Raw genomic sequence first — 13,457 nt, forward strand, 5'->3', positions numbered from 1 at the left:
CATGAAATCAATGTAATAGCTTCTGACCAGAACAAAAGAAAGAAAATAGAACACTCAGAATGCCTCTTATGAAGACTAAGTGTAGTTCTGTGAACCTTTTAGTGACGTACATGTATGTAGCACGTCTCCACATGTCATGATGAATGTGCGCTGAGGGTGCAGTCCTGGTGAGCAGGCTACCACCTCAGTTTGCCACGGCTGGTATGCATCTGTGAGCTCCGGAACATCCACATAGCTCTGCCGCCCACAGGAGCAGGTGCACCCACCTTCGAGAAAGTGGGAGAAACAGGTGTGGCGTCCCCACCGAGGGACCTTGAGCACTGGGCAGGCAGAGCCCCAGCGTCCCTTCTGTTGGGTGGTTGGAGGAGTAAGTTTAGGTTATAAGCATGTTTTCTGAACTCTGAAGTGCCACACGAATGTAAGGTCTCACTAAATTACAGATTCAGAAGCTGGGATTGAAAGCACACCACTGCTGGCTTTGGGGGGCAGACAGGTGACTGACAGTCTCGTCACAGTTTCTCAAGAGTCAGCCCTATTCAGGTCAGTGAGCGCAGGTCAGGGATGAGGTCGCTGCACTCTGCGTTCCCCAGTCCTGTATGCGGCGTCAGTTTTGGCAGTCCACGTGTCTCTCCTGTAGAGGATTAGAGGGGCCAGCCCCATGGGTCTGCAGGGTTGGCGCACCGTCTGGGGAAGACACTTGGAATGTGCTTTCGTTGGTGAGCCAGGTCAAGGAAACTTTGGGGAATGTTTGCAGAGAGCTGAGGATGGTTGTCTTGGGGCCTAAGTTTTTCTGACTTAAAAAGCACCTCCTATTTGGGGTCTGTGTGGTAGTGACCCTTTTTCTTTTTTACTTTTTTTTTCGAGACGGAGTCTCACTGCAATGCGCAGGCTGGAGTGCAGTGGTGCAATATCGGCTCACTGCAACCTCTCCTTCCCGGGTTCAAGCGATTCTCCTGCCTCAGCCTCCTGAGTAGCTGGGATTACAGGCGTGCACCACCACGCCCGGCTAATTTTTGTATTTTTACTAGAGATGGGGTTTCACCATGTTGGTCGGGCTGGTCTCAAACTCCTGACCTCGTGATTCTCCTGCCTTGGCCTCCGAAAGTGCTGGGATTACAGGTGTGAGCCACTGCGCCTGGCCTTTTTTTTTTTTTTTTTGAAATGGAGTCTTGCCTCATCGCCCAGGCTGGAGTGAAGTGGTATGATCTCAGCTCACTGCAACCTCTGCTTGCTGGGTTCAAGCAATTCTCCTGCTTCAGCCTCCACAGTAGCTGGGATTACAGGCACACACCACAATGTCCGGCTAATTTTTGTATTTTTAGTAGAGACAGGGTTTCACCATGTTGGCCAGGATGGTCTCGATCTCTTGACCTCGTGATCTGCCTGCTTCGGCCTCCCAAAGTGCTGGGATTACAGGCGTGAGCCACCGCACCTGGCTGGTAGTGGCCCTTTTTCAGGGGTTTACAGGTAAACTTTCCTTCCACTTTTTGAGATCTGGGGACATTACATGGGAGTTGGAGGCAAGTCTCGGAAGGCTGCTGGGCCTTGTCCTGGGCGCAGGCTTCTTAGGCCCACCTCAGGGTTGCCAAGGGGCAGGTGTGCAGATCCATAGGGACCAGCACCGGGGCTCTTCCAAGCAGGGCAAAGGTGTTAAGGGAACAGAGGAGAGCAGGGGGATTGGGGGCATCATGAGGATGGAGGGGGACAAGGCCAGATGGGGCTAAACCCAGTGGCCGGGTTTCCTTCTGAGTGCCCAGGATGTTCCTAGGGAGCCCTCAGTGAGGGGTGCCCTATTGTGGGTATGAAGGAGGAGCAGAGAGCAGGGTCGGGGCCAGAGAAGGGGCTAGTGCTGGCAGCATGGAGGCAGAGCCAGTGGAATTGGCCTGTGATTGGACAAGGAATGGGCTCAGAAAGCATCCTGGATAGCTGGGCATGGAGGTGCACTCACCTGTAGTCCCAGCCACTGGAGAAACTGGCGGGAGGATCGCTTGAGCCCAGGACTTCCAACCTGTAGTGTGCATGATCACACTTGTGAATAGACAGCGTACTCCAGCTAGGGAAACATAGTGAGACCCCTGTTTCTAAAGAAAAATGAAAGCCTCCTGGGTTTGGCTGAGTCCCTGGTGAATGGTGGAGCGGTCCTGAGAGCTGGGAAGACCTCTTTCTGGCACAGCAACCGGGGCAGAGGTGAGAGGAGAAGGGCCTCAGCAGTGTTCTGGCCTTTTGGGTTCATCCAAAACTTGCCGGTCCTGGGCCTGCTGGGAGAGGTCAGCCCCTTTCAGGTGAGCAGCTCTGGGGCCGGGTGACCCACGCCACCGTGTCGGGCACACAGTGGTGCTTCGTTTTCCTCACTCCTGGGGCCACAGCCTTCCTGCTGCGGTTCTGCCTGGTGGGTGGGTCCATGCTGCTTTGAGGAGGCAAGTGACCTAAGGCTTCCGGGACACTCTTTTGGCAACTTGGGCCTTGGAAGGACAGCAGAGCAGGTGTGCAGTGTTAGGACCTGTGGCTGAGCTGACCTAACAGCCTGCCTGGAGGCATCAGTCAGGCTCAAGTAGAACAGCAAGGCCCCCATCTTGGGGCTGTCGTCCAGGCACAGAGCGGTCAGCATCTACTGTCCTTCCTGGAGAAAAAAGGGAAAATGCATTTGTCATTTAAATGTTGGAATGGGCCAGGCACGGTGGCTCCTACCTGGAATCCCAGCACATTGGGAGGGCAAGGTTGGATCACATGAGGCCAGGAGTTTAAGACCATCCTGGCCAACATGGTGAAACCCCATCTGAAAAATACAAAAAATTAGCCACCTGTGGTGGCGGGTACCTGTGGTCCCAGTTACTTGGGAGGCTGAAGCATGAGAATTGCTTGAACCCAGGAGGTGGAGGTTGCAGTGACAGATTGCTCCACTGCACTCCAGCCTAGGTGACAGAGCGTAAGACTCTGTTTAAGGAAAAAAAAAAAAAAAAAAAAGGAATGGTTCTGAGAAGTCATTCCTTAAGTAAATAAATTGCCACCCCAGGTTGCCCTCTTGGGAGGGGACTCTGGAGGCCGCCCTCCACCCTTAGGCCAGGGCCTGTCAGTCCCTGCCTCCCTGGGCTGCCTCCTGGGGATCTCAGCCGACACCATGCCCCTGTCCTTCCTCCACCTCTTTCCCAGGTTGCTCTGCCTGCAGTCCACCTTCTAGGAGTGAGCCCCCCCACCCCCACTGGAAGTCCCTCTCTAGCTGTCCCCAGTTCCCTGAATCAAGACTGCTTCCCTGCCAGAGAGATGACCCCAATTCCTGCCTCCTCTCACTAGGCTCTCAGGGGCCGGGACTGGGGACAGAGCATACTTAGAGCTAGCCCTGGCCCTCGGGCTGCTTTTGGAAGGAGGAGCATGGCAGGCGAGCATCAGGTGACACGTGCCCCCACGGGGAGCGCAAGAAGGCACTGGAGGCTGTTGCGAAGGAGCAGTGGGTTTCGGGTCCTCATGACCGGCCCTGGTTCCGGGTGTGAGGCTGTGGAGACGCATGGGTCTGCCTTTCTCATCCGCAGCTTCCTGTTGCTACTTGGGAAGCTCCATGTTTGCTGTCCGGTTGTGTTTCGAGTCTGTTCTCTTGGGCGTCTGTGCCGTGGAAGTTCCTTGTGCTTGATAGGGCCAGCACGTGTGAACAATCTTCACTTCAGCTAGAAGCTTTGAAGTCTTTGGACTCAAGCTTTACCCAAACCGCTTATAAGGTTGGGGGGAACCGAGTGCCTGTCTCTCCCCGCTTTTTTTTTTGAGTGGAGTCTCGCTCTGTCACCCAGGCTGGAGCACAGTGGCGCGATCTTGGCTCACTGCAACCTCAGCCTCCTGAGTAGCTGGGACTACAGGCGCCCGCCGCCACGCCCGGCTAATTTTTTGTATTTTTAATAGAGACGGGGTTTCACCGTGTTAGCCAGGATGGTCCCGAACTCCTGATCTCATGATCTGCCCACCTCGGCCTCCCAAAGTGCTGAGATTACAGGCGTGAGAGTTGTAGTTCGTTGAGAGGGAGACAGACCTCGAGGAAATGCTTGGTGTGCCTGCCGGGTGACTGCTCGCTCTCCTTGTCTGCTCACTCTGCCCAGTGAATGGGTCTAGGCATCCTCATTGTTCCCTTCCTCTGTCCTCAACATCAGCCCAACCCTGACCAGGCCCCTTCCTGAGGTTCCCACACAACAGGGGCTCCATGTTCAGAAGGGGAGAGAGAAACCCACCTGGGGATGCTCTGTAAGGAGAGCAGAGCCCAGTGGAGTCTCTGCCCGGGACGCTGAGGGAGGAAGAGCTGCGGTTAATTCAAAAGGAAGGGTGAGGTGCAGGTATTGGCTGGATGATGCTCAGAGAAGCAGGAAGAGTGGGCATGGCACTGAGTGGCTGAGGCCATCACTGGTGGCCTTGGTGCTTAGGCAGAAGGAGAGGGCATGGTGCAGGGCGCTGAGGCCGTCTGTGGCTGCCTTGGTGGGGCTTACTGAGTTCTAGTGGACAGCAAGGTGCCAGGGCAGGGCTGGCACATGGAGGGCTCTGAAGGCCATGTGTATCGTCTGAAGTGAGGGAAACCCGTGGTAGCTAAAGGGAATGCACTAGCCAGCCCCAGGTGCGCCACATTCCTGCTCTAGGGGCTGGAGGGAAACCCGTGGTAGCTAAAGGGAATGCACTAGCCAGCCCCAGGTGTGCTACGTTCCGCTCTCGGGGCTGGAGGGGAACCCGTGGTAGCTAAAGGGAGTGCACTAGGCAGCCCCAGGTGTGCTACGTTCCCGCTCTCGGGGCTGGAGGGAAACCCGTGGTAGCTAAAGGGAATGCACTAGGCAGCCCCAGGTGTGCTACGTTCCCGCTCTCAGGGCTGGAGGGGAACCCGTGGTAGCTAAAGGGAGTGCACTAGCCAGCTCCAGGTGTGCTACGTTCCGCTCTCGGGGCTGGAGGGGAACCCGTGGTAGCTATAGGGAGTGCACTAGCCAGCCTCAGGTGTGCTACGTTCCCGCTCTCGGGGCTGGAGGGGAACCCGTGGTAGCTAAAGGGAGTGCACTAGCCAGCCTCAGGTGTGCTACGTTCCCGCTCTCGGGGCTGGAGGGGAATCCGTGGTAGCTATAGGGAGTGCACTAGCCAGCCTCAGATGTGCTACGTTCCCGCTCTCAGGGCTGGAGGGGAACCCGTGGTAGCTAAAGGGAGTGCACTAGCCAGCTCCAGGTGTGCTACATTCCCGCTCTCGGGGCTGGAGGGGAACCCGTGGTAGCTAAAGGGAGTGCACTAGCCAGCCCCAGGTGTGCTACATTCCCGCTCTAGGGGCTGGTCTGGCGGCATGGCTCTCTCCTGAGTGCCTTCAGAGCCTGAGTGCCAGCAGGCAGGCGTCTCCTGCCCAGTGGGTTTGGTAAGATATATTTCAGAAGGCATCCACCACTCTAAAACATGCTTATTGCAGGAACCATGGGGGAGACCAAAGGGCCTAGAGCCTTGAGAACCTCTGACCATTAGTGTTAACAGGAAGGCAGCCTGTTCCCCTAGCTGGGGAGGGGGTTGTGCGTGGCAGGAAGCCCGTGCGTCTGTGTCTCTTTGGAGCTGTGGGTTGGTTGTGTGGATGCCAGCTGTGTGGTCCCCAGCCTCACTGAGCCTGAGTTTCCATACTAGCGGCGGGAGATGGGACTAGAGGGTCTCCAAGGCTCCCTGAAGCTCTGCGATTCTGCTTCTCTGAGTCTTGACCGCAGGTCAGTGGGGACCCGGCCCCTCACCATCGCCTGCTACTGATCACCATTGGTTTGGTTTTGTCTCGAGGACTGTTCTGGAATTGAGGTGTAACGTGCTGTGTGTTCTTCCTTAGGGCTTTGTTCGCGGGGGTCACAGCTCTCATGGCTGCAGCTAGCGTGACCCCCCCTGGCTCCCTGGAGTTGCTACAGCCCGGCTTCTCCAAGACCCTCCTGGGGACCAAGCTGGAAGCCAAGTACCTGTGCTCCGCCTGCAGAAACGTCCTCCGCAGGCCCTTCCAGGCGCAGTGTGGCCACCGGTACTGCTCCTTCTGCCTGGCCAGCATCCTCAGGTGCATGGGGCCTGCAGGCTGGGAGGAGGGGCAGGCAGGCTAGGCTGGTTTTAGAGCCACGCTGCCCAGCCTGGTAGCTCCCAGCAGAGCCGGGTCCAGCTTAGATGTGCTCCAGTTATCGATACTCCCTGGATTTCGGAGGTTTACCACAAAGAATGTAAAATTAATAATTTTAAAATAGCAATTTGAAATACGATTTTGGATACATGGGGTTAAATATAGTACGTCATTACAGTTAATTTTATCTTTTTATTATTTTTAATGTGAGTACTGGAAAGTTTAAAGTGCCACCTACTGCTCACTTTTTGGCTGCTCTAGGCAGCTAAGACAGCCGCCTTCCTTGCAGCGAGTGGTCTGAGAGGTGTGGCCTGTGCACATCGGCAGCAGCTCGGCCTGTCGGGAGAGCCGGCAATACCTGAGTTACTGCAGCAGATGTCCTTGGCGGTTCAGGCGTGCCTTCCTCACAAACGGAGTGATAAAAACAGTGTGCTGTGAATACTGGGGTTTAAAACATGTCCTGTTAACATTTGCCTGCTGTTGGTTTCACTAAGGATGAGAAAGTTTAAACTGTGGTGTGGAGGTAGGTTTTTGAACTGAAGCAAATGGTGTTTGTTTTTTGCATTAGGTTTCACAGTGGGTTGTTTTTTGCCTTTTTTCCCCACTAGCTCTGGGCCTCAGAACTGTGCTGCCTGTGTTCACGAGGGCATATATGAAGAAGGCATTTCTATTTTAGAAAGCAGTTCGGTAAGTAAAATGTCTTGAAGCTAAAAATGTTGAACAGAAAATGTCTTAATTTCCTTTACAACATGGGTGGGGCTGGGCACAGTGGCTCACACCTGTAATCCCAGCACTTTGGGAGGCCCAGGTAGGGGGATTGCTTGAGTCCAGGAGTTTGAGACCAGCCTGGGCAACATAGTGAGACCCTGTCTCTACAAAAAGCAAAAAACTTACCAGGGGCCGGGCTCAGTGTCTCACACCTGTAATCCCAGCACTTTGCAGGGCCAAAGTGGGTGGATCACCTGAGGTAAGGAGTTCGAGACCAGCCTGGCGCACATGGTGAAACCCCATCTCTACCAGAAATACAAAAAATTAGCCGGGTGTGGTGGCGCACGCCTATAGTCCCAGCCACTTGGGAGGCTGAAGTGGGAGGATTGCTTGAGGCTGGGAGGCGGAGGTTGCAGTGAGCCAAGATCGCATGCCACTGCACTCCAACCTGGGTTACAAAGTGAGACCCCTCCTTTAAAAAAAAAAAAAGAATAAAGGGCCGCCAGAAGTTGTCCCTTAGCAGACTCCTGAAGTTTAGGGTTTGGAAACTTTGGCATCAAGGTGAGTCCAAAAATAAAAAGGAATCAGAGAGTCATCCTCTGCTCCTGGAGTGGCCTGGAAAGGCGATGTGACGCAGTATTGGTTGGTTTGGACGTGTGGTCTGTGTTCCTTGGTTGCTGCAGGGAGTCTGGGAGGAGGTTTAACCCGAGGGATATTCCTCTCCCCAGGCCTTCCCAGATAATGCTGCCCGCAGGGAGGTGGAGAGCCTGCCGGCCGTCTGTCCCAGTGATGGATGCACCTGGAAGGGGACCCTGAAAGAATACGAGGTAAAGATGCCTGCGTGTGGCATGGTGACAGAAGCTCCAGCAGTCGGGAGTCGTCCACGCTCCCCAAGCAGTTATGACCTTGTCCTGCACGTTCCTCTCACTGGGGCTGAAGCCTGTCTGATGTCTGTGGAGGAAGAGACGGAGCTGCTCCTTAGAGTATGTCCATTTAGAAACTCAAGTAGTGCAGAGCACAGACCTGCACCATGGAGCTTGGGCTGTGTGACCTCGGGCGAGGTATTTACCCTCTCTGTGCCTCAGGTTTCTTGTCTGTCGATGGGGGTGCAGGATCCCACCATCGTGGGGTGGCTGTGAGGGTTGGAGGTGCCTGTGTGAGCCCTGGGAATGCCATGGTTATCTGAGCAGTAGCATTTCCTGGGAATGAAGGGGAGATCGCTGTGCACCAGGACCTGCAGCTTTCAAGTTTGGTGGGGGTTTTTGTTGTGTCTCTTGTATCCACAAAGGATTGCTTATTTTGAATTGTGTTGACACTGGAAATTGCAGAAATAATGGACACACTTGTCCTGTGGTCACAGCAACATAGGCAGTGGCCCGCACTTCACTTGGCTGTGGTTTGTCCCTGTGTGCTGGGCGAGCCGTGCACGCCTTCCTGCACTGGGGATTTCAGTGTGATTCTCACGTCACCTTTTAGGCATTTGGAAACTTCACCTGTAGTGTAGAGGCCAGGAGGTGCCGAGAGAGCTCGTCGAGGCCACTACAGCTCGCCAAGTTATGCAGTCTTCCTTCTTGTAATGAATGCCCTTTAAGAGGTTTCTCTCTGGGATCCTTGTACAGGATTCCTGGAGTAACACTGTCCACAGAGCCCAAAGGTAGAGGCAGCCCAGTGTCTGCGGATGAATGGATAAACACGGGAAGTGTGATCTGTGCACACAGTGGGATATGATTCAGCCTTAAAAAGGAAGGCGATTCGGACACACACACCCCAGGGATGAACTCTGAGGACAGTGTGCTGAGTGACATGAGCCAGTTACCAAAGGACAGATCCTCTGTGATTCCACTTAGGGGCCACCCTTAGAGTCATCAGATCCATGGGTACAGGAAGTAGAATGGAGGAGACAGGGGTCATTGTTCAGTGAGTACCGAGTCATACATTGGAATGAGGCAGTACCTTGATGCCATCCAATCCAGCCCCAGGTTGGTGAGGCTGTGAGGGCTGTTTGCTCAGAATCCTGGCTTTCTGCACTTAGGGGAGCTTCCTGCCCGGGCCAGAGCTGGGATCTCCTGCTCAGCCGGACCCTGGGGTGTTACCGGCTGGGTTGGAATTGGACCTGCATTACTGTGTGTTTCTCCTCTCCTGCTCCCCGCCCTGTGAGCCTGGCCACGCCTCCCTCTTCTCCTCGCCCACTCCCCACCCTGTGAGCCTGGCCACACCTCCCACGATCTTTTGACAGACTCTGCTTTGTGGTCTTTGGGCTCCAAGTTTCGTTTTTTCAGAAGAACTGCCCCAGCTGTGTCTGGGGTGAACAAGATGTGCTTTCCTCCCTAGCACGGGGATTGCGTCCTGGACACGGAGCGGTAGCTCCAGGGCACTGCCCTAGAGTGAGACTCCTACCTCTGTGGGCAGAGATGCCAGACCGCCCTCAGCCACGACGTGCGATGCAAAGCTTTCTAGGCTCCTGTGTGGCTCTGCCGCACAAACGGCTGTGGCGCATGGCATTGTACCCCCCACTCCCTGCTCCTTGAAAGAGATGCAGCTTGGTCATTGCCCAGTGCTGTCTGCAAGGGAGATGGCTCCCTGGGGAGGTGGCCCAGGGTCAGGGTCTCCCTGGGAGGGTTGGGGTACCAGCTGGCTGCAGGGAGTAGGGGTGCTATGCGCCATGCCACCCTTTGAGAGGACTGAGGAGTGTCTGGGGGACAGGTGGGATAATAGTTTCCAGCTCTGCACTGGACCCTGAGTCCTCTGGGGTCTCTGCCACCTCCAGGCTCATGGGATGCCACATTGACAATTATGAGGGCCTCCGGCTGAGGGCCAAGGACTATAGCCAGCCCCTGGCCTGGGGCGCCACGCGGTCCTGCAGGCACGCAGGGTGGAAAGTCCCTGGCTGCACCTTTGAGAGCTCTGGAAAGTCCCTGAGAGGAGCCGGGTTTGGTCATGTGGGAGGGGCGGGCACTGCTCTGGAATAACTTGGCTGTGGCCTTTGATTTTGTTGATAAAACCTCTCACTGGCTGTAAATGTCACACATGGGGACGGAAATCAACCCGTCTATACAGTTGGGAGCCGCTCTGCCCCTCGGAGCCGCCTCTCTTTGCTCTCCGGGTGCTCGGAGTGTGCTGCTAGTTGGGGCCTTATTGTAAACACAGTACGGAGGCTAAGGCTGCCTTTCCTCCTTGATGGTCGGAACTTTATTGGAAAAGGGGAAAATCCTGCTTAGCTTTTGAATGTTTGTCCTTTGCAATGATGCCTTTCTAGGAACTGAATGATTTTATTTATTTATTTTTATTTTTTTGAGACGGTCTTGCTCTGTTGTCCAGGCTAGAGTGCAGTGGCGTGACCTCGGCTCACTGCAGCCTCCACCTCCCAGGTTCAAGTGATTCTTCTGCCTCAGCCTACAGGCGCCTGCCACCACATCCGGCTAATTTTTTATATTTCTAGTAGAGATGGGGTTTTACCACGTTGGCCAGGCTGGTCTTGAACTCCTTACCTCAAGTGATCCATCCACCTTGGCCTCCCAAAGTGCTGAGATTCCTGGCATAAGCCACTGCACCTGGCCAAATCGAATAATTTTAAAACTTTAGGTAAATGTTGATGGAGTGCTTGCTGAGTGCCAATAGCAGAACTGAATTCCCCAGTGGGCCCCTGAGCTACTCGTTCTGGCAGCTGGATGCGGGGGTGCGGGGAGACTTTCCAGAGAGGACATAGGCTGGCTGCACGAGCAGCGGAAAGGCCAGGAAAAGCCAAGTATGCTCGGCCTCATGGACATTCTAGTGACATTCAGAGGGATGACGACTGTATTTGCGTCAAATGTGTAGTTTGAATTCTGGCTGAATAAATATTGATTTTTTTTTTTTTAAACTGTGTCTGCTGTGGGTGGGGAGAAGACTGAGACAGATGGTGCTGGTGTAGATGTATCTGCTGCAGGACAACCCTGGTCCCACTGGAGATTTCAAGTACCGAGTGCCAAGAGAAAGGTTTTTTTTGTTTGTTTGTTTGTTGTTTTTTGCGATGGAGTCTCACTCTGTCACCCAGACTGGAGTGCAGTGGTGCGATCTCGGCTCACTGCAAGCTCCGCCTCCCGGGTTCACACCATTCTTCCTGCCTCAGCCTCCTGAGTAGCTGGGACTACAGGCGCCCCCACCACTCCCGGCTAATTTTTTTGTATTTTTAGTAGAGATGGGGTTTCACCATGTTAGCCAGGATGGTCTCGATCTCCTGACCTCGTGATCCGCCTGCCTCGGCCTCCCAAAGTGCTGGGATTACAGGCGTGAGCCACCGCGCCCAGCCAAGAAAGATTTTATTTTTGACATTTCGAGCATGCAGCGCATCTGAGCAGTGAGGCTGAGAGTAGAGGTGTGCCGCTGCCCCACAGGCCTACATGCTGCCCCGCAGCACCTGCCAGCCTTCGCCAGCCTACTTTCAGCCCTTCAACCCCCCACACACATTTTTTTCTTTTCTGGCTTATTTTAAAGCAAATGAAGATGTCATATCATTTCACCTATGAGCATTTTATTACTATTATTTTTAGAAATAGAGTCTCGCTCTGTTGCCTAGGCTAGCGTGTAGTGGTGGGATCATAGCTCACTGCAGCCTCAAACTCCTGGGCTCAAGTGATCCTCCCACCTTGGTCTCCTAAAGTGCTGGGATTACAGGTGGGAACCCACTGTGCCCGGCCATTTTACTATGTTTTAAAGAACAGTCTTTTTTATTTTTATTTTTTTATTTATTTGAGATGGAGTCTCACTCTGTCGCCCAGGCTGGAGTGCAGTGGCACGATCCCGGCTCACTGCAAGCTCCACCTCCCACGTTCACGCCATTCTTCTGCCTCAGCCTCCCGAGTAGCTAGGACTACAGGCGCTCACCACCACTCTCGGCTAATTTTTTTTGTATTTTTAGTAGAGACGGGGTTTCACTGTGTTAGCCAGGATGGTCTCAATCTCCTGAGCTCGTGATCCACCCGCCTCGGCCTCCCAAAGTGCTGGGATTACAAGGCGTTAGCCACCGCGCCTGGCCTAAAGAACAGTCTTTTAATTAAATCTAAGAACATTGACTATTTGTGCTTTCGTTTTTAGGTTTCATAAGCCAGAATAGTTGCTGAGGCTCCTCTTTGATTCAGCTTGATGGTGGCTTGTTACACACTAGTGTGGCCGAGGGCTGGGTCCTGTCCCGTCAGTGGGTAGCAGAGTGCAAGGCGCTGTTGGGTTCAGGGAGTTGGTTCCTTTAGCAGGCTTAGCTTGGGCCAGTGCCGCTGGAGGTCTTGGAGGGCTGGGCCCATGTTCCCTGGGGCGCCTCTAAGGAGTAGTTGCTGTGCCTGTGTGAAGGTTTGGGAGGAACACTCCCTGGGGAGGTTGAATGGAAGCCAGCCCAAGTGCCTGTGCTGTCCAGAGCAGGGTCTCCCCTCTTGGGGGAAGTAGCATTAACCTTTCCTGAGTCACTTGGGGCTCCTGAGCTGTAGCCAGCTCTCTATGGAGCTGCTGACCCCCACTCCCCACCCCATGAAGGGCCCCGCAGCCAGGTCCTCTGCTGCCCTGGCCTCTCAGGAACCTTCCTCTCAGCACATTGTCCTCCTCTCTCCGGGTTGTGCCCATCGGTACAGAATATGCTCTAGTCTCTCCTGTCTCAAAACTTAGTGTTGTGCTCAGTGAGCTAAGCTAGGCACAAGAAGATAAAGACTGCGTGAATTCACTGACAGAGTCCCCGGAGTGGTCAAATTGAGAGCCAATAGATGGTGCTGGGGGCTGGAGCAGGGGAATGGGGAGTTAGGGTTTAACAGGGACAGGGTTTCAGGTTTCTACAATGGGAAAGCGTGATGGAGGTAGATGGTGGTGATGGTTACATAACATCAGTGAAATGTACTTAATACCACAGAACTGTGCACTTGAAAATGGTTAAGATGATACATTTTATGTTTATCATGATTGAAGAAACAGCAGATTTTCAACTTCCTGTTCCTTTGACTTCCATTCCCTTTCTCTGTTCCCAGTCATAGCAGACTTCTCCCAAAAGACGTGTTTAACTCTGGCCAGGCACAGGGGCTCATGCCTGTAATCCCAGTACTTTGGGAGGCTTAGGTGGGCAGATTGCTTGAGCTCAGGAGTTCAAGACCAGCCTGGGTAAGATGGCTCTACCGCCGGGCGCGGTGGCTCACACCTGTAATCCCAGCACTTTGGGAGGCCAAGGCAGGTGAATCACGAGGTCAGGAGATTGAGACCATCCTGGCTAACACGGTGAAACCCTGTCTGTACTAAAAATACAAAAAAATTAGCCGGGTGTGGTGGCGGGCGCCCGTAGTCCCAGCTACTCAGGAGGCTGAGGCAGAAGAATGGCGTGAACCCAGGAGGTGGAGGTTGCTGGTTGCAGTGAGCCGAGATCGCGCCACTGCACGACAGAGCAAGATTCCATCTCAAAACAAAAACAAAAAACCAAGATGGCTCTGCCAAAAATACAAAGAAATTTAGCTGGGTGTGGTGGTGCGTGCCTGTATTCCTATAGTCCCAGCTATGTGGGTGCTGATGTCGAGGCTGCAGTGACCTGTATTCTTACCCCTGCACTCCAGCCTAGGTAACTGTATCAGTCCATTTTCATACTACTATAAAGAAATACCCGAGACTTGGGTAGTTTATAAAGAAAAAGAGGTTGAATGGACTCATAGTTCCATGTGCCTGGGGA

General features: G+C 53.9%; 1 protein-coding gene across 5 annotated transcripts in view, besides 2 other annotated features; it reads left to right on the forward strand.

The window, feature by feature from the left end:
* The window catches only part of TRAF2 (TNF receptor associated factor 2), a 44,650-nt gene that overhangs the window by 10,949 nt on the left and 20,244 nt on the right, over window positions 1–13,457 (forward strand). For 4 of the 5 annotated variants that reach the window (XM_011518976.4, XM_011518977.3, NM_021138.4 and 1 more), the window contains 3 exons: window positions 5,807–6,022; window positions 6,688–6,766; window positions 7,516–7,614. In XM_011518976.4, the coding sequence (XP_011517278.1) occupies window positions 5,835–6,022; window positions 6,688–6,766; window positions 7,516–7,614 (366 nt within the window). In that variant the 5' untranslated portion in view covers window positions 5,807–5,834. Of the gene's footprint in view, window positions 1–1,143; window positions 5,694–5,806; window positions 6,023–6,687; window positions 6,767–7,515; window positions 7,615–13,457 lie in introns of those variants that run through there. The other variant, XM_047423828.1, reaches the window with a different exon arrangement.
* Window positions 8,877–9,196: an enhancer, noted in NCBI's record as "active region_29335". NCBI's record gives its function as "activates an Ori minimal core promoter by ATAC-STARR-seq in GM12878 lymphoblastoid cells {active_cell/tissue: GM12878}" and the evidence as "EXISTENCE:reporter gene assay evidence [ECO:0000049][PMID:35858748]".
* Window positions 9,427–9,886: an enhancer, noted in NCBI's record as "active region_29336". NCBI's record gives its function as "activates an Ori minimal core promoter by ATAC-STARR-seq in GM12878 lymphoblastoid cells {active_cell/tissue: GM12878}" and the evidence as "EXISTENCE:reporter gene assay evidence [ECO:0000049][PMID:35858748]".

This window comes from Homo sapiens, chromosome 9 (assembly GCF_000001405.40).
Source record: "Homo sapiens chromosome 9, GRCh38.p14 Primary Assembly".
Classification (NCBI taxonomy): Eukaryota; Metazoa; Chordata; class Mammalia; order Primates; family Hominidae; genus Homo; species Homo sapiens.